The sequence below is a fragment of the Homo sapiens genome, chromosome 2 (genome assembly GCF_000001405.40).
Source record: "Homo sapiens chromosome 2, GRCh38.p14 Primary Assembly".
NCBI lineage: Eukaryota > Metazoa > Chordata > Mammalia > Primates > Hominidae > Homo > Homo sapiens.
The window spans coordinates 95,335,288-95,355,243 of record NC_000002.12 but is presented as its reverse complement, the minus strand read 5'-3'; the positions used below and the strand labels follow the sequence as shown (position 1 = coordinate 95,355,243).

At 54.5% G+C, this 19,956-nt stretch overlaps 1 protein-coding gene across 2 annotated transcripts in view, besides 1 other annotated feature; it reads right to left on the bottom strand.

Annotated features, from left to right (window-relative positions):
* Positions 1–19,956, bottom strand: part of KCNIP3 (potassium voltage-gated channel interacting protein 3) — an 88,731-nt gene that overhangs the window by 30,834 nt on the left and 37,941 nt on the right. The window contains exon 1 of one of the 2 annotated variants that reach the window (NM_001034914.2): positions 8,122–8,586. The exons of the other annotated variant lie outside the window; for it this stretch is intronic. Within the exon in view, the coding sequence (NP_001030086.1) occupies positions 8,122–8,224 (103 nt within the window). The 5' untranslated portion in view covers positions 8,225–8,586. Of the gene's footprint in view, positions 1–8,121; positions 8,587–19,956 lie in introns of those variants that run through there. 2 annotated transcript variants of the gene reach the window in all.
* Positions 12,023–12,259: a silencer, noted in NCBI's record as "fragment chr2:96008733-96008969 (GRCh37/hg19 assembly coordinates)". NCBI's record gives its function as "represses an EF-1alpha promoter that drives an FKBP-Casp9 reporter gene in an ReSE screen in K562 erythroleukemia cells {active_cell/tissue: K562}" and the evidence as "EXISTENCE:reporter gene assay evidence [ECO:0000049][PMID:32094911]".

Genomic DNA, 19,956 nt, shown 5'->3' with positions numbered 1-19,956 from the left:
TCACTGTGGACTTGGACCAGGGCAGCTGCCTCCACTTTGGGCTCCTGACACCTGTCCTGTAAGAGGCTGGGACACACACAACCATCTCCGGTGGTCCCCAAGGCCCTGCAGCTGTGGATGCATTCAGGGCAGGTGTGCCGGTGTTCAGAAAGGTCCTGACTCTGCCGCTCCCCGGCCCTCAGTTTCCTCGTCGATGAAACGAGCCTGCTCATGAGGACAAGATTGGGATATGCATAAAGTGCCCCCAAAGAGAGAGCATTCTCTAGAGGCTGGTTCCTATCACTGTCATCAGCATCCCAGATCTGGAAAGCCTGCTCAAGGAGCTGCACAAGACCTGAGGGACTGGCAGTTTACAAAGGGCACCAGACCCAGCCAGGGAACAGAGCACCCAGCACACCCACAGCATCACCACTGGCCCCAGCAAAGGTGGGAGAGGGTGTTGGGGGAAAGGAGAGCAAGAGAACGAGCAGGAAGGATCACAATGGCCCCTTGGGCCTGCTCCAAGCCAAGAGGTAGCTGCAGACCCAACAGGCCCCAAGGTCACCTTTGTAAGACCAGGCCCCTGGTAGTCCCCTTGGCCCCGCAGTTAGAGACGCTTTCAGGGCAAGTGCGCAGAGGGCATGTGCAGTGTTTGGGGTCACCTCCCAGGATGGAGGAGCAAGGGCAGTGGGCCAGACCCTGCACATCCTGGTTCTAGACATTCTCCTCTTCCCCATCACACCTCACACCTCTGCTGTCCCCAGACCCACAACCCAGTCTCCCTGCCTCCGCCCCAGCCAGAGGGACCCTCCCTGCAGAGGGCACCGTCCCAGAGCTACTGTAAAGGTAGGGCCAAGACTCCATGTTACCTGTGCTGCCTGGCATAAAACGCATGTCCAATAAGTGCGTGCTATGGTGGCATATAACTTACATTTACTGAACACCCGATGCTTGCCAGGCAGTGTTGGGCATACCGTGAGGCCCTAAGTATAGAGACACACGCCCCTGCTGCTCTGAGAAGAGCCCATGGCAGGGCAGGACAGGAACACAGAAAATCTGAGGGCAGTGTTATCTAACACAACCTGAGGGGGCAGGGAGAGGGCAAGGTCCGGGAGAGTTCCCAGGGGAGATGGTACCTCTGCTCCCCACCCCTCACTTACAGGTGAGGAAACCACTCAGACAGAAGTGACTTGTCCACGTGAAGTGGCACTCCCAGTCCTCGGCCAGCACTGCTTTTAGAACAGCATCCTCCACTTCCGTGCCACTGACATGGGGTCAGACACCTCTCTGTGCTGGGGCCGTCCTGTGCACTGCCAGATGGTGAGCAGCACCCCTGGCCTGTAACCCCCAGATGCCAGTAGCACCTCCCCAACTGTGACAACCAAAAATGTCTCTCGACGTTGCCAAACGTCCCTGCAGGGTAAAACTGCCCTTGGTTGAGAGCCGTGTGGAAATCTGAGCCGAGCTAAGAGAAGCCGCAGCCAAAGCCGAGCCTCATGCCACAGATGTGGTCACAAAGCTCTGGGTCGGGCTGCATCAGCCTCGCAACAGCACCCAGGCTCGCCCGCCTGCACCCACTTCTGCTTGCCCTCCCCTTCTGAATTTCTGAGATCTGAGTTCCTCTTTCAACTTTTCCAAAGTGTTTTTGGCTCAGCACCCCCTCTGGCTAAAGTGGATACTGGGAGGTATTATTATCCCCATTCTACAGATGAGGAAGGTGAAGCTCAAGGAGGTTAAACGTAGAGAAGTCACCTGGTAAGCAGGTGGCCAAACCGGGCTGGAACGGAGGGAAACCCAGTGTGCTCGACCAGGCAGGGCCTGCGGGTCAGGATGCCCGGCTCCAGCCCAATGCTGGCTGCCTCGCGCTCTGGCCTCTGAATCCGATCTGATCCCAGAAGGCCCTTCATGGGGGAGCTGAACTGGACCACACAGCCACATCCGATGAGGGGCCTGGTGTCAGCTGCTCTTCCTCTGGGATCAGTTGTGTGGGGAGTGCTGGGAGAGGCCCCCACCCAGGTTCTCTGCATGGAAAGCATCTCTTTCTCTTCCCAGGGCCTTGCCTCCTGTACAGTCTTGGCAACTCACTCACTTTGTGCATAGGGCTCAATCCTCCCACTAGGAGACACTCCTGCCCCAGCCAGAATCCAATCCTGCCCAGCTGGGAGGCCCTTACAGCCCCCCACCCCAACACACACTCTCAGTGTTTGCTCGCTAACCCATATGACTAATGGTGGGACTATAGGCATTGGGATAGAGTGCCAGGTTTAGAGGGCAGATGCCTGGGAACCCCCAAATCACTGAAGCAACAACCTGACAGCTGCACACCCTCTTCAGCCATGGACTGGAGGCCTCCTGCAGGGTGACCAGGCTGTTAACAGCTCCACACAGGAAAGCATCTGGCCTTCCTGTCTCCCTCCTGGACATGTCTGGTCACCAGTTGTGATGACCAAGGAAGGTCCGGCATTGCCAGTGGGTCAGGGCCCTGGCTGGCCCCCTGGCCAGCCCCTAACTGGCAACAGGATGTCCCTGAACTGGAAGGCAGGGGAGGAAGGGCTTGGGGGAAAGGCAAGGGAGGGAGGACTAGGGGAAATGGCAGGGGAGGGAGGGCAGAGGAAGTTTACAGGCCACTGGCAAATGTGGGGACACAGCACTGTGAGACTCCTTCGAGAGGTAGGGAGGGAGAGAGGGCTGGAGAGGGAGGGCTGGGGGGAAGGCTGGTCGGGGAGCATGGAGATTCCAGGAGGGGCTGCTAAGTCCAGTGCTGGGTCTTGTTCTCAGGTGACCTGGAGCCTGGATATTCGGGGTCCACAACCAGCTCGTCAGCAGCCTCTGACCCCAGGGTCACTCCCGCCCTCCCCAGCTACCCTTCCTCCCCTGGCCTCCAGGACACAGCTCTCCAGTGTTCCTGACCCTGCTCTTTCTCCCTGACCTGCTAACAAATGCTGGAGGGCCCCAGCGTTGGGCCCTTGAATCTGGTCCCCTTTCTGTCCTACCCACTTCTTGTTTGTTTTGAGACAGAGTCTTGCTCTGTTGCCCAGGCTGGAGTGCAGTGGCGTGATCTTGGCAAACTGCAATCCGGGTTCAAGTGATTCTCTTGCCTCAGCCTCCCAAGTAGCTGAAATTACAGACGCCCGCCACCATGCCCGGCTAATTTTTGTATTTTTAGTAGAGACGGGGTTTTACCATGTTGGCCAGGCTGGTCTTGAACTCCTGACCTCAAGTGATCTGCCCACCTCGGCCTCCCAAAGTGCTGGGATTATAGGCCTGATCCACCGCACCTGGCCTGTCCCACCCTCTTCTCTGGTGACTCCCCCAGTCTCACAGTGCTATATCCCTACATTAGCCAGTGGCCTGTAAACTTCTTTCTCAGCCAGACTACTCCCATAAATTCCTGACACGTACACCCCAACACCTCCTTCATGGCTCCACTTGGATCTTTTTTTGTTTTGTAGAGACAGGGTCTTGCTATGTTGATGAGGTTGGTCTGGAACTCCTGGCCTCCCGTGACCCTCCCGCCTCAGCCTCTCAAAGTGCAGGGATTACAGGCATGAGCCAGGGAGGTCCCTGCAGACCTCTGAGCCACAGAGCTATACGACAGTAAATTTGTTTTGGTTTCAGGCATGACATCTGTGGGAATCTGTCACAGCAGTGATAGAAAATACATCCCAAACTTACCAGGTCCAAATGGAGCTGCTGAGCTTCCCACAAACCTGCACCCCGCCCCAGGCTTCCCCATCTCAATAGATGGCCACTGCACCTTCTAGGTGCTCAGGCCAGTCTTCCAGACTCCTCCCTTCCTCTCATGCCCCACTGCAAACCAACAGCTCTCCCCGGGAAATGCATCTGGAACTGGCGACTTCCCCCAACCCCAATGCTGTCTCCCTCCTAAATGGCTGCAAATGCCTCTCATAGGATCTGCTTCCCCTGGTGCCTCGCACCCCAAGTCTGCTCTCAACACAGCAGCCAGTGGGACCCTGCGGAAATGCAAAGCCACTTCACTCCTCTTGTCAGGACCTTCCGATGGCTCCAGGTTTCTCCTACAGTAAAAGCCAATGTCCTTGCGGAGGTCCACCCCTGGCCAGGGCAGTAGTCTTCAGGCTTGAGTATGTCCCTAGCACCTGGAGCTGGGGAAGAGAGAAGCCGCTGGGCCCAAGCCCAGACTTTCTGAGCCCGCAGGTTTGGGGCAGGGGCCTGAAGATGCATTTCTACCAAGCTCCTGGGCTGCTGCTGCTGCTGACCCAGAGCCCCTGTCCTCGAAGGCCTTGCGCCCAACTCCCAACTCTGGCTTCAGAGTTTGCTCACCCCTGATGACACTGAACACTGCTCAGGAGAAGTGGCTGCAGTGACTCCCCCATGAAGTCACCCAGAGAAAGGCACTGATGGGGGACCCAGGACAGAGAGTCCCCCAAGAAACTCCTAAAAATCCCAGTGCCTGGGTTTCACCCAGAGATTTAGAGTTCGATGCCCCAGGGTGGGCACAGCGGGTATTTTTTAAAGTTCCCAGGTGATTACAATGATAATGTACAGCTGGGTAAAGAGCCCACTGGCCCCCCACCTCCACTGCCACCACTCCTCACTCACTCGGCTCCACCCACTTACCCTGATGACACCGAGCACACCCCACCTCCAGCCTCTGTGCTCTCTGCAGCAGCCCCCACCCCTGCTGCTCCGGGCCCCCTGCTCGGTGCCCATCCAGGCAGTAGCTCTCACAGGACCTGGCCTCAGGTTCGCCAGCAGGAGGTGGAGCAGAGGGGACAGGAGAAGGCTCCAGTTCTCCCTCTTGGTCAGCAGGTTCCCTCATGAATTTAACAAATCCTCCCCGAGCTGCTGCCTGGTGCCAGGCACTGTTCTAGGCACAGGGTGCTAACGTGACCAAGACAAAGTCCCTGCCCTCATGTGACCCGCAGCTGGGGGAGACAAACCACAAACTAATGATAAAGAAACTGAGATACCCAGTATCTTAAGGGAGTGACAAGGCTGTGGAGAAAAATCAAGTGTGTAAGGGAGTCTCTGCTCCTACAAGGAATGTGCTAGGAGCCAGGAGACACAGAGGGACAAGGAGGACCTTTATGTCACCAGCACATCAGGAATGCTGCCTGCCGGGGCCCACCAACACCCTCCACCAGCAAGGCTCCAGGGAGAGCCACAGGGGCGAGCCTTTGAACACTTTGGGAACGCAGATCCCCTTGAGAACCGTATTTCAGCACTCCAGGAAGAAGCACCAAACACATAATCTTGCCCATAATTTCAGGAGCTTTATGGACCTTCTGGACTGGGACCCCACTGTGTTAAACATGGAGTGTCAGGCACCATAGCCCTTCAGATGCAGACCCCACCCCCAGCCCAGCCCTACAGGGTCCAGGTCCCAAAGCCAACATGAGATCCCCTTGATGGCCCTCGGGGCCGTCCCAGCAGCTCCAAGCTCTCGCACACTTGCCGAAGCAAGGCTCGTGGATGGCAGGCAGCTTCTTCATCTCTGATATCCCGTAGGTCACCAGGGAAGGAGGAATCCTAATTAAGCAGACAGGATGAGGACTGCTTTTCTGCCACCCAGGGTCTGTCACACTGAGGCTAGCCTGGCCTCTGGCCAGGCCCATGCCCTGCTGCCCACTGATTTGCCCTGGTGGTCAGGACAGCCATGCCACCACCCCGGGCTCAGCCCCCTTGTCCATGGATCAAGGGGCGAGCTTCCTGCTCCATTACTGCTCAGGAAAAGTGACTGAGGTGACTCTTCCATGAAGTCATCAAGGGAAAGGGACTGATGGGGGACCCAGGGCAGAGAGGAAGGCTTTTTGACTGCTGCATGTATTTCTAGAAGGCTGCATCCCCAGAACCCAGATCCATTAGTTCCTAACAATCCCCAGGGCACCATAACTCTGGTCTATTACAGATGAGAACCACGGAGGCTCAGAGAGGACAAGAGACCCCTCTGACTGCACACACGCAGACTTGGAGCAGAGCTGGGGCAACAGTCCCCTTCCGGCCCCCAGTGGCACTGAGGATAGCTCACATCCAGGCTGGTGGGACAGCCTGGGCTCCTCACAGCTCATCTGACAGTTCCTTAGACACTGCCTGGCCAATGGGAGCTTCCAGGCCCTCGGCTGGCTGACACCATTCCCCACCAACAGAACATCTGGAACTCACGACGCCCTCCCTCTGACGGGGGGCGGGGGGGGGTGTCTGAGTGAGAGAATGGCTGCAACCATGAATCAGTGCTGTTATTGTGAGTACCACTCACATACGCATTGCTAATATCCCTGATAAGCACGGCTCACAAAGCCTGCACATTTATTATCCATGCAAGCCCCACTGACTGGTTCAAGCCTGCCACAGCCCTAGGGAGCAGGAATTCTTATCAGCCCCACTTTACAGATGGTGAACTGAGGCTTCGACTGTTTAAGGGATTTTTACAGCCAGTTTATGAAGGTGACAGGATCTCAGCACAGGCCTGGCTGACTCTGAGGCTCTGAGCTCCCCCAACTGGATCAAGACCCCAGAACTCCAGGGGTATGAGTGGGCACATACCCACAGAAAACGGAGCCTCATGGGAGCCTGAATGGGGTTTTTGGCAGGTGGAATAAACCATCTGTCATCTTGTGCATACTGTCCACCTTGCAAAGAAACCTCCTCAGAAATCACAAAGGCAAACCTCACACTGCCCCCGACTGTGGGTGAACCCGCTGTTAGGAAGGTCTGAGGTACTAAGTGAAGTGAGGCTGGCTGTTGCTCCTGGCCACTGGAGGCCCCGAGGATCAGGGAAGAGCAATGGAGAGATCACAGCTTCCCTGTGCACCAGCCACCCCCCACGCCCACCCCAGGCTCCAGATGGGGAAAGAAAATGGGGCAAGGGGACAGGGGATGGCAATCCCTGCAGGAGGCACGGTCCTCTGAGGCACAGCAGCACAGGACGCTCACCCCTCCACACTCTGCCCCAATCCCAGCACCTGTATGTCCCACGAAGTTCCCTGTCACAGATTCCTCCTGCCAGGGCCAGCATCCGGCCGAGCGAAGGCCCAGCCTGGGCCACTTTCTCCCCCATCTCCAATCCAAAGCTCCTGGTGGCACCCCTCTGAACCACTTGGAGCAAGCCCGTTCTCTCTGGGCCTCATACACTCACCAAGAGAGAAGGTGTGGCAGAGCCCAGTGGCTTCTGAGGGGCATGTGGCTGTGGACTTTGGGAAAAGGGCCAGCCCTGGACATCGAAGGTAGAATGGAGGGAAGCCTTGCTTCCTGCCCCTTCCCGCACTCAGCAGCCCTTCGCAGGAACTTGGGGCACTTCCCCATGCCCGAGGGGCTGCTGGGCAGCTCCCAGGCAGGGGCAAGCTCGCTCTCTCTCATTCTCAGGCCTCTGGGTCTCAGTACTGAGAGTTGGAGCCCGGCAAGGTCAGCAGAGTGCTGGGGCAGGCAGGATGCCCATGTCCTCGGAGAGGGCAACAGGGACGAGAACAGGACGAGCTAGCCCCTTCCCCACGGCCAGAGGTGCAGGGCCTCTTTGAACAGGGGAAAAGCTACATCCCTGGCTTCAGGGTCCCCTTCAGAACCAGGTGTACCATGGAAGGGCCCCAGGGGGCCGTCAGTGTCTGATCCAAGTGTGGGTCTGTCTCCTCAGTTAATATTTTATTGAGACAGAAATGTGGCGCCTGCGGGTTTGGTTACTGATCCCATGGGCTTGAACCTTGCTTGGGGAGGGGTAACTGGATACCAGGTGCGGGGCGAAAGGGGAGGCCCCATCACAGGGCAGAGGCCTCAAATCTCTCCCCACCGCCGGCTGCCAGGTGCCCTGGGCTGAGGGTCCTTCCTGTCATCTGCACCCTGCGCCACCTCCCGCTACAGGGCGACCCAAGCCGGTGTGCTCACCAGGGGCGCCCGGACTGCAGGCCTAGGATGGCAGGAGCTGTCCGCTCAAGGTGTCACCAGGCGCCTCACTCACACCCAGCCCAAGCGCTGCGGCTTCGTCCCCTCTGGGGCTTCCTGGGACTACGTCTCCTTAGTCCCAGGCCCAACCCTCCGGAGCCGGGAGGGGGCGGCGGCCCAGGCCGCTCCTCGCCAGACCAGTGCACCCCGGCGTGCGGGTACTGGTCCCTCCCTCCAGACCACTGGTCTGCGGCGGAGGCGGCGAAGGGGCAAGTGGCCACGCGTTACCTTCCATGGATATGGGCTCCAGGATGCCGAACTGCTTGAGGACGGCGATGAACAGCAGCACCACCACGGCCATGGCGCACAGCTCCATGCCCTGGATGCCCATGGCAAGCCGGGCTGCCTGGGGCCCTGGGGCCCGGGCGCACCCCTCGCCCACGCGCTGCCTCGGAGGCACCGGGGCCCCTGCAGCCCGCACGGCCTCTCGGGGGCGGCGACGGCTCACATGCCCCCGGCAGGCGGGGCTGCTGGGTTGGCTGGGCCGGGGCCCCGTGGAGGGCGGCGGCGGCGGCGAGCGGGTCAGGCCGGAGGCTGGACGCGGGGACCGGACGCGGCGGCCGAGCCCGAGCGCAACTTTCCGAGTCAGCCGGCAAACTTCGAGGCGCGGCGGCGGCGGCGGCGCGAAACGCAGCGCGGACGGCCAGCGCGGGCCAGCGGCGCCTCCATGCCCGGCGCGGGCGCTGCGCCTCTGTCGCCCCCTCTCCAGCCCCGCGGGCGCCGGGGCGCGGGGGCGCGGCGGCGGCGGCGCGGCGGCGGGGGTCCCGGGCGCTCCCGGCCGCCCCAGCCTCCATCGCCGCTCCCCGCGCGCTCATTGGCCTAGGCGCGGCGGCCACTCCGGGAGGCGTCCCTGCGGCCCCCCCGCGCCTGCCCGGGAAGGGCGGAGGGAGCCGGCCCCGCCCCGCCCGGCACGGGCCAGCCCAGGACGGAGTCTGGCGCGTCGCCACCGCTGCTCCGCCAGCCCCTGGAGGCCGCGCGGTCGGCGGTTTCTCCCACGCGCAGGATGGGGGCCGAGGGGCTGGGGAGGGGCCGGGAGCCCGAGAGGAGGGGGCGGCGGCTGCGCTCTCCCGGGGAGGCGCTGATCCCGGCCCGCCCCGCGCCGCTGGCCCGCGCGGAGTCGGCGGCGGGGGATCCGGGAAGCCCTCACTCCCCGGCGCATTTCCCGCAACCCCGGTCCTCCGCCGGAGATTAAACTGGGCCCAGGCTGGCCCCCTTTGAAAATGCAGAAGTTGGTCTCCAAAGTTCTCCCGTTCTGGAAACGCGCGTGCACTCGGGGCTTTAGGGAAAGTGTGGGCTTTGGCCCTGGCGTCTGCGGAACAGAGCTTGGTCGCTGACTTTGCTGCGTGACCTTGGTCGAGTCACGGACTCGCAGCCGCCGCCGCCTGCTCCGCAGAGAGGGGGAGACGCCCGCCTTCGGGCGGCGGGGAAGAGCTAAGCGGATGCGGAGTGCCACGCACGGGCAGGGCAAGGGCATGCTTATTCGTTTGTGGGTGGCTTTCTTCCTGCCGGGTCTGGTAGAGGAGGGAAAGCCGCGAAAAGGAAGGAGAAAATAGGGGAGGACGAGGCGTGGCCGGGCGGAGCCCGGGGTCCTTGGAGCCGCGAGGCCGGAGACCTGAGCCGGGAGCCTGGCCCTCTGCTGCCCTCCAGCGGGCGCGGCGCACTGTGGGCATCCCCGCCGGACGGACTCAGCGCGGCAGCGCGGCTACGGCCCGCACCTCATCCTTCCCGCTGTGTTAGCCAAGGGAGAAATCCAGCTCCGCTCCACGCCTATAAGCGCGAGTCCTGTTTGGACTCACGGCCTGAGCAATTGCAGCTTCCATCTAGGGAGCCTCTGCCACTCACTCGGCCATTCATTCAGCTGATGTTGAGCGTAACACGGTGCTTGGTCCCAGGCACAGAGCTCGCTGCCTGGGTGGGGTGGGAGCCGCGGCGCGTGGCTGCGAGGGCCCCCTGGAGCGCGCCTACGTGTGCCAAGCCTTTGAGCTTACGTGTGATTCTTAAAGGGCTCCCCCCGTGGGCTTTCCTCTTCCTCCATTTTACGGGGGAGGAAACCTAGGCTAGAGGGCTAATTACGTGAGGGGCACAGGGACAGCCAGGCCTGCTGGAGTCCGGAGCGGGGACTTTCCCGTGACACCAGCCTGTTTCTGGTGGGAAATGACCGGGAGAGGGGCTGCGCAGTGCAGCTTCACTGTATCACATGCCTAGTTAAATGTCTGAGCCGTTGGCGTTAGTTTTAAAGAACTGTAAATGCATAGCTTTTAATTCTAGTTAATTGGGATGTGGTGATTCTCCACTGACCAAAGGCAAAAGTCCTAAGCAGAGAGGCTAACAATCCCCAGAGAAAACAGCTCTGTTGGAGCAGAGCTTTTAAGGTTAAAGAGCCTCCTGCAATGTAATTTACACACTTAAGTGCTGAACAAGATCCAGCCTGTGCCCAGGTAGTGCCGGCTCAGCCTCCATTAGTGACCTGTAAAAGTGTAGTGGTACATAACCCCTCTAAGCCTCAGTTTCCTCATCCATAAAATGGGAACAATAATCCAGCCTCTCCGGGGGCTTGAAAGGATGGAATGAGATGCAGGCTGGCACGTGGCAGGGGCTCCAGTGGCCCCTACAATGCACCCTCAGAGCTGCATGTGCCCAGCTTCACAGGGTGGCACGTGTCAGATGAGACAGAGAACTGAGCATGCAAAGGAGGCCATCTTGGGGGTCCTGAGGCTGGCCTCCAACCCTCTTCTCTGCCTCTGTTTCCCTGGATGCTTCTGAGCATCTTCCCAGTTCCCAGTGAGAGCTTCGATGACTGCCTATAAACCCTGAGCTATAAACAAGACATCGATCCTCTGGCTGTGCCGTGTAAAATATTAACAACGCCTAAGTGGATACGAGGCCTGAGAGCAGAGTATCCACGTGGCATTAGCCACCTGGGCTACGGGCCTAATGGATGGGGAGCTGACTCCCAGGCTCACTCACCAGCGTAGGCCCACTGAGGCTGGGCTGAGGGTCTTATCACACTCCCCTTCCCTGGGACTTGGAGAAGGAAGCCAGCAGGCGAGCCCTGAAGCCCCATGTGCCCCCCCCCACCCCGCCACCCATGAAGTGCCTTCCCAGGCGACTGTCTGCCCTGGCGTGCATTTCCTTGGTCCCCAGCACATCCCAAGTGCCTCCATGTGGCAGTATGCTGTGTATGGGTAGCACTCATTGCTTTGAGGAAAGCACAGGCTGGAGGTGAGGGACATGCAAAAAAACCTCTTCAGGGCGGGGAGTTAGGGAAGGACTGCCCCAGAGGTGGGGACAAGTTGAGGGGCAATGTGGAGGGAGCAGTTCACTGGTCCTTGGGGTGATTGGAGAAGGCTGGGCCCTGAGCCCTCTCCTGAAGTCCTCAGGATGACTAGGAGACAGGGGTGTCCTGCATCTTGCTCTAGTTTAGGAAGTTTTCAGAGGAAATTGCTTTGGGGTCGGGGTGGGGGGTCACTCCAAACCTGGACAGGCACCCCACACCTGAGGTCACAACCATGGCTGGAATATTGAAGCTGCCATCCAGTTCTGTCTCCAAGAAGCCAACCCAGATTCTACCAGCCCTGTCTTGACTGCCTTTGCCTATGAACTAGCACACACCTGCCTGGGCCACACTCTTCCTCCCTGCATTTTGGCTCTCTGCCCCGGCATCTTCCATCTTGTTACCACAGCTGTACTGGTGGTTCCCAAGGCCTGGGACTCTGTCAGTTTGACCGACATTCCCTGGATGTCCCATGCTAACTGTTCCTGACCACCTAGCTGCCCAGGGATTTCATGAGGTCTCCTGACTCATAAGGGCGGGTCTGGGCTGGATGCATGCTGTTTGAGGGACCCATTCCGTGAAAACAGCTCAGCACACTGGTCCAGTCCCAACTCTCCGGAGTGGGGCTGGGGGAGGCCTGCCTTATTCTAGTTTAGTTCTAATGCTTTCTACTGGGCAAAGCAGGCATTATTCAATTTATTTATTCTTCCCATATTTCATAGAAACCAGACAAGAATGCCCAGGAATGGAATTTCACACTCTCAAGGCTCCTCAAACTCAGCACCTCCAAAGCTGACCTCTTCATCCTCTCCCAACCTGCCACTTCCCAAGTCTCCCCATCTCAGCTGTTCAGCCAAAACCCTGGCTCTTACCTTGGAATATCTGCCTGTCCCCACCCCGTCCAGCCTGTCACCACACTCTCGCCCTGTGCCTCCTCGTCCATCTCTGCCCCACTGCCACCAGCCCAGCCACAGCATTGTTCTCCCTCCTGGACTCCCAACATGGGTCCCCAGTGCCTCTCCCCACCTCCACTGTGGTTCTCCTCCTACCTCTTCTCGGTTCAGCAACCAGCATGATCATCTCAAGACAAAAATCAGACCGTGCCCTTTCCCAACTGGAAACTACCAGGGGCCTCCTGGTTCAGCAATGGCCATGTTTGCCTGTGTGGCTGGTGACCACACCCCAATTTCCTTTCCCAGCCTCAGTGCAGTGACTTTGGAGGTTGGCTCAATCAGTGTCAATTTCTCTTTTCCACTCCATACCACCCCTCTGCTGCCACAGTGATTGGCTCAGGGATGGCCACCAGACGGGAGCCAGGATAGTGAGAGTCCTCCATGAGACTGGCCCCGGGGAAAAGCAGGCGATTATAGTAGATAAGTGGCCAGGCTGCCACCATGTGGGAACAGCGGGCCTGAGAACGGAGTCACCTCAGGAGAAAACACAGCTAAAAATGAAGACAAAGAGATCAAGTCCAGCTGGCAACGCTGCGTGCCCCATGACACATCTAAACCTGTATCTTTCGGACATATGAACCAATCAATCCGCCAACTGTGGCTTAAGCCAATGTGAGTTGAGTTGCTGTCCCCTGCAGCCAACAGGGTCCTAACTAATGCATTCTGCACTTCTCACGGAACAAAGACCACAGTCCTAAGAAGGCCCCTAATCCAAGCAGCTAAAGCACTTACTATGTACCAGGTGTTTCAACATGACTTATCTCTTCATTCCTCACAGTTCTGATAAGGTAGGAACTGGAAAGGAGGAAGAAGTTGAAGCACAGAGTGGTTAATGCTTTGCTTAAGGGCACACAGCTGATAAACCAGAGTCAGGATTTGAACCCAAGCAGTCCAGCTCCAAAGCCTGTGATTTCAATTCAACCTTGCCCCCCATGGCCGGGCCCCTCCTCTCTCTTTCTCGTGTGGCTGTGGTCACACTCGCAGCTACCAGAATGAGCCCAGCACTCTCTCATCTCAGGGTCTTCGCACATGCTCTTCCGTGAACTGTGAACACTTTTCCACCTCCCTGTCTTTGTCCAGTTTATGCCTCATCATCCTTGGGGTCTGCACTCTAATGTCACTTCCGCAGAGTCACCTTCCTAGATCTCCTCCATCATCAGTCTCCACCCCGCCCCCGTCCTTTTCCCTCCTTGCAGTTACTGCAATGGGAACATAGATATTTGCTTACGTGTTTACTTGTTTCTGCTCTCCCACTAGACTGCAAGCTTCCCAAAGGGACAGCTATTGCCTGCCTTGTATAAATATTTATTATAATTGATAGGGTTCACATGACACCTTTTCCCAATTGTTTCAGCACAGGATGCCCTGGTGTCACTAGCAAGAGCACAGGCCTGGGAGTCCAGGAGAACCAGGGCTGAGTTCCTGGTCCCAACCCTAGCCTGTTCATGGACTTGGCCACAGCACATTGCCTCTTTGAGCCTTCCTTTCCTCCTTGTAAAATGGAGTCACTTGGTGATATTTACCTGCCTGTTGCACAGTGGGCTATGGATATGAAAGCATCTCAAGACACGCAAGAGGGACTTTGTTTCTGGAGAGCCTGTTTCCTCACAGCCAAGACAACCTACGAAATGACACCAAGGGAGCCCAGCTATCTTGACCTTAGAGTATTGACCAAGCCCTCTGTATTAGTCCATTCTCACATTGCTATAAAGAAATCCCTGAGACTGGGTAATTTATAAAGAAAAGAGGTATATTCATCTCATGGTTCCACAGGCTGACCAGGCAGCGTGGTGCTGGTATCCTCAATCATGGTGGAAGGTGAAGGGGGAGCAGGCACATCTCACGTGGCAGGAGCAGGAGCAAGAAAGAGAGTGAGGGGGGAGGTGCCACACACTTTTAACACCCAGGTCTCACAAGATCTCACTCTGTATCGTGAGAACAGCTCCAAGTGGATGCTGCTAAATCATCAATGAGAAACAACGCCATGATCCAGTCACCTCTCACGGGACCCCACCTCCAACATTAGGGATTACAGTTCGACTTGAGATTTGGGTGGAGACACAGACCCAAACCATACCACCGTTGAATCAGACCCCCAGGGGCCGCACAGAACCCTTCCACACAGCCTCTGCTCTGGCCCAACTTCACATGAAATCTGGGAGGCTTATGGCTACAGGTAACAGAAAACCCCATTCCTTGGCTTAAATCATAAGGAAATGTACTATGTCACACATGGAAAGTCCAGCCAGAGGGTGGCTTCCAGGGGCAGCCAGCTTAGATGCAGTGGTATCAGCAAGAACCTGGGCTCTTGCATCTAACTACACTACCAGCTTTAGAGCATCTGCCTTAACCACAGCCTGTTCCCATCATGATCACAAAACAGATGCCTAATTCCAGATATCACATTCTGACATGATACTGTCCAAGGGGAGAAGAAACCGTCTCTTCCGGCATCTCTTACTGTGAGAAAGACTTTCCCATAAACTTCTCATGAAAAATCCCCTCATGTTTCATTGGCTACGATTGTGTCACATGCCATGCCGAAATTGCTGGCAACAGAAAAGAGGCCACCACTGTGGCAGAGACTGCCAGCTTGCCACCAAAACCCATTCTTCTCTCTTCTACAGTAAAGTCTTAGCTACACGTGTGACCATCTAGCAGGGACTGCATTTCCCAGGCCTCTTTGTAATTAGTGTGGATGTGCATTGTTGCCAAAGGAAGCTATGAATGCTGCTTTGGGGATGGAGGTTTTGTTGTTGTTGTTTGTTTGTTTGTTTGTTTGTTTTTGAGATGGAGTTTCACCCTTTTTGCCCAAGCTGGAGTGCAATGGCACCATCTCAGCTCACTGCAACCTCTGCCTCCCAGGTTCAAGTGATTCTCCTGCCGCACCTCCTGAGCAGCTGGGATTACAGGCATGCACCACCATGCCTGGCTAATTTTGTATTTTTAGTAGAGACAGGGTTTCGCCATGTTGGCCAGGCTGGTCTCAAACTCCTGACCTCAGGTGATCCACCTGCCTCAGCATCCCAAAGTGCTGTGATTACAGGCATGAGCCACCGTGCCCAGCCTGGGACGGAGTTTTTAAGACGGTAAGTGACTCTCCTACTTGTTCTCTCTTCTCTTTTCCCACTGGCTGGAACTCACACATGTTGGTGACCAGCCTCACTCATGCAGATCTTAGGGGTTAGGGGAGAACACAGCCACAGGGTAGAAAGGGCCTGGGTGCCTGAATGGCTGCATGGAACAGAGCCTCCCACCAATCTAGAACTCTCACCCAGGGAGAAAGGGAGAAAGAAATATACTTTTTTTATGCCTTAAGGAAAGAGATGAGATCAAGTAAGAGCTATCGATTTGGAAATAGAGGTGGAAAGAGAGATGGAGATACCAGGTATTGAAGGCTTATTCACAGTGTTGGAAAAGCCAATTGCTTTTGGACCAAACAGAAGAGATAAGACTGATGCTACTGGGTTTTGGGGGTCTCACTATTACAGCACCTGGTCTGACTTCATTATTATTATTATTTTCAATCTTTTTTTTTTTTTGACAGGGTCTTACTCTGCCACCCACGCAGGAGTGCGTTGGCACAATCTCACCTCACTGTGACCTCCGCCTCCTGAGTTCAAGTGATTCTCCCGCCTCAGCCTCCCAAGTAGCTGGGATTACAGGCATGCACCACCATGCCCAGCTAATTTTTGTGTGTTTTTTTGGTAGAGACGGGGTTTCACCGTGTTGGCCAGGCTGGTCTCGATCTCCTGATCTCAAGTGATCTGCCCGCCTCAGCCTCCCAGAGTGCTGAGATTACAGGTGTGAGCCACCGTGCCTGGCCTGACCTAATTACCACAAGCATGATGATCAGATCAGTCAGGCCTGGCTCCCCTTGTGGCTGAAGGAGGAGGGGGGACACCTGAAATTGGGGCCAAAAGCAGAGCTTGTAGAAGAGGAAGAAGAGAGGGATAGATTGGGGCAGATAATCAGCAGTGTCTGCACTAACTCCCAGCTCCTTATGATATTTAGGCACAGGGCCCAGAGCCTCATCCTCCACCCGCTGAGTCAAGATAGCAAGTAAAGAGCATCAGCTTCCTCCAAGGCAGGGCTTTACAAAGGCTCCAGGCTGTGTCCCATCGGCCTGTACAGATGGGTCTCTCTTTGGGTGGGGCTTAGACAAGTCAATGCTGCAAGCACTTATGAAGCCTTTTCTCTGGGGATGGGCCTTCGAGGGATCATTAGAAAAGTTCCTCAAACTCAAGAATACCTGTTGCCATTTGCTGAACGAGTACCTGTTAGGTGCTTTACACCAATATGTCTTGATTTCCTCCTCACATCAACCTCACAGATAAAGGAAGTGACATCATTTACCCCTGTGGCAGACAGAGACTTCTGGTTGCTGATTTCACGTCACCTCTCTCCTTCTTCCGCTCGAGTAGACTCCTTATCTTGTTGGAATTGCTTCTCTGCCTTTTGGTTAACATCAAGTCTAATTTCATTGGGGGCGACAGTGTTCTTTGCCACAGAATTACATTTCCCGGGGTCTTTATGGCTAGATGGCCATGTGATATAGTTTGGGCCAATGGGTCATAAGTAGAAACCACTGGGTAGGGCTTTTAGGAAACCATCTTTATGGCAGTGGGAAGGACTCAGCTAGCATACTCTTGTTGCCATTTCTCCCTCCTCATTTCTGGGATGGGCTTATGATGACTGTCCCTGGAACCATGAAAGAAGGACACAGGTTCCTGGGCTCTGATGGCTGGAGCTACCAAGCTAAACGTCTGGATTTCTCATTGCTTGAGAAAGCTAAACTCGTCTCATTTAAGTCGCCATAATTAGGTGTTCTATTTCACGAAGCTAACATCAACCTCAAATGGAGTCTAAGGTGGAGAAACTGAGCCTAAGAGATGTGCCCAAGTGTCCACAGCTGGTGAGAGGCAGAGCTGCGGTTTGAACTCAGCCTGAAGGCAGTGCCACAGTGACATGCTGCCCCACAGCCCCTGCCTCCCCACCTACCTCCTGCCCTGGCTGTGCCGATGCCTCGGGGCCTCTGCCTTGCCTGGTGTCTGCCTGCTCCTCGTGGGCCATCAGTCTTGGGCCCGTGTCTCCTCCCACAGGCCTAATACCTGACTGAGAAACATTCACTGTTTGTTCTCCTGCTTCCCCCACCACCTCCAGTTTCCCACACTGTAGCCCCGTGGTTGGGCCTGGACTTTCTTGGCCCCAGTCCTCATCAGCACCCCCAGCCTAGCTGCCCGCCTTTCTATTCTGACCCTGCTTATCAGAGAAGTCTAGAAGCAGAAAAGCCCATCATGAGGACAGCAGAGAGCTTGGGTGAAAGATGAGGGTGGCCTGGACTGAGGTAGCGGCAGAAGGACTGGAGAGGTGAGGACATCATCAGGGGGAAGTAATAAAGCCAACAGACCTTGGGCAAGTAACTTAGCCTCAACATCACTCAATGTCTGCAACTGTAAAATGGGAATGATAGTAGTGCATATGTCTCAGAGTGAGTGGGAAGGTGACAACAATTAGATGTATAAAGCACTTTAGAATAAAGCCTTGGTCCATTTGAGGTACTCAATAAGGGCTATAGCCTCAACTGTTATGGCAGAGAAAGGATTCATCTTATATCCCAATGACACACTCAAGAGACCTAGCAGGAACATAGACAAGTTTGAATAAATTTGTATTTTTAACCATACAAACATCATTCCCTCCCCCGCCCCCTTGAATCCAGGAAAAGAAGGTTCCAACCATGTTAGAGTAGGTGGCATCAGACTAATCTGCCCACTGAAAACAACTCTAGGACCTGGACAGAGTATGTACAGCAACTCTAGGAGGGCACTGGACAGCAACAAATCATTTCTCGAGGCAATGATCCTCGAGAAAAGAGAATCGCACTGAATGGACCCCGCAGTTTACTTCATCTTTATCCTTGAGTATATTCTCCAAAATGCTGGGCATACAAGGTCTCCTAGCACTGGCGGTCACACTGGATAAAGGAAATAGAGCTCAGAGTTCAAGGCTGCTAAGGCAGCTAACATTTGAGATGATGGGGGTCTGGAAAGGAGGGAGCCACAGAGAAAAAGTAGCCCCCAAAATCTGCACGAACAGATCCTTTGGGGCCTTGGCTAATTGCTAGGCTCTGCATTAGCAGGGAGAGACTCTGGAGTGCTTGCAGGAACAACTGCAGCGATGTTGAGAGCAGAGCAAAGATCCCAGGGGTCAGAGAGCATTGAGGAAATATGGAGGTTCAGGCCCACCCACGCACTGGTGAACACCCTGGGCTTTCTGTTGAGACCTCAGAAAAGCCATTTGTTAGGATTAAGATCACACCTTAAGAGAAGAGCTATACTCTATGAATAAGGCAAAAAGCTGAAACAGACCCTCCCTAACAAAGGCTAAAAGCAAACTTTGACAGGAACGGTGTGATTTGCCAGGAATTTAAATGCTCGCCAAAACAAAACTCAATGCTCTTTATAGGGAGGTAAGTAAATCCAGGGCCTGTATAACATATCACTCACAATTTCCAGCATGCAATAAAAAATTGTTAGACATGAGAAGAGGGAGAAAGTGGCTGATTATGAAGTCAATAGAAATAAAATTCAGAGATGACTCAGATGTTTAAGTAAGCAGATAAGGACATAGTTCAAAATAACTATGATAAATATGTTTTTAAAAATAGAAAAAAGAAATGGACAAAGTAAATGAAAAGATGTAGTTTAAAATTTAACAGAGAATTTGGATCTTGTATCATTGAAGGCTTGATCAGAGACGTGGAACCACTATGACTGATACGGAGTCTGGGCTTTGTTATAAGAATGAGACTTTGTATAGTTGTGGAAGCTGGGGAAGAAGTCTTATTGAGGGCTGTTGCCTCTGCATATGCCTGAAGTTGCTGTAGGTTGGCAGGACCAGAAAATGGGAAGAGAGACTGGACATGAAGTAAGATAAAGTGAGAACAAACTGGAACTCAAAAGGACAAACTAGAATCCACATCTGTCTCTCACTGCCCCCAAACCTGACAACATGGGTGACCTGCAAAAGAAGTTCACACTGTCTGTCACAGAGCTACAGTGTTCAACTAAAAATTATAAGACATGGCAAGAGACAAGGAAGTGCAAATACAACAGATGATAATAACGGAGGAACAGAGGAACAAAAAGGCATGTGACAAATAGAAAACAAGTAGCAAAATGGCAGTGTAAATCCTATCATACCAATCATTACCTTAAATGTGAATGGACTAAAAATGAATGGAAGAAAAAAACAGAAAAGAATTTAAGGAGGATATGTGGGTCGAAGTAAAAAAGTCTAACAAATGTATAACTAGACTCCCAGAAGAAAAGGAGAGAGAGAAAAGCATGGAATTAGAATTAGAAGAAATACTTAGAACTTGAATAAATTATGATAATAATTTTAAAAATAATTTAAAGAAATAACAATAGAATTTGAAGAAATTTTCCAAAACTGATGAAAGATATCATATCATGGGTTTAATAAGCTCAATGAACCCCAGGCAGGATAAATACAAAGAAAACCACAGGTAGGTACATCTGCTATGGTGTGGAGATTCTGACATGTGCATGGTCAAACTGCTGAAAATTAGAGGTAAAGAGAAAACCTTAAAAGCATCCAGAAGAAAAACAGACACATTGTACTCAGAGAAATAACAATACAAAAATGATGGTAGATTTCACAACAAAAACCACAGAAGCCAGAATACAATGGAAGAACATTTTTCAAATGCTATTGCTCAAAGAACAGTAACTGGCCATCCTGGAAATCTATACCCAGCAAAAATGTCTTTTAAAAAATGAAGGGTAAATTAAGGCATTCCAAGTTAAGTAA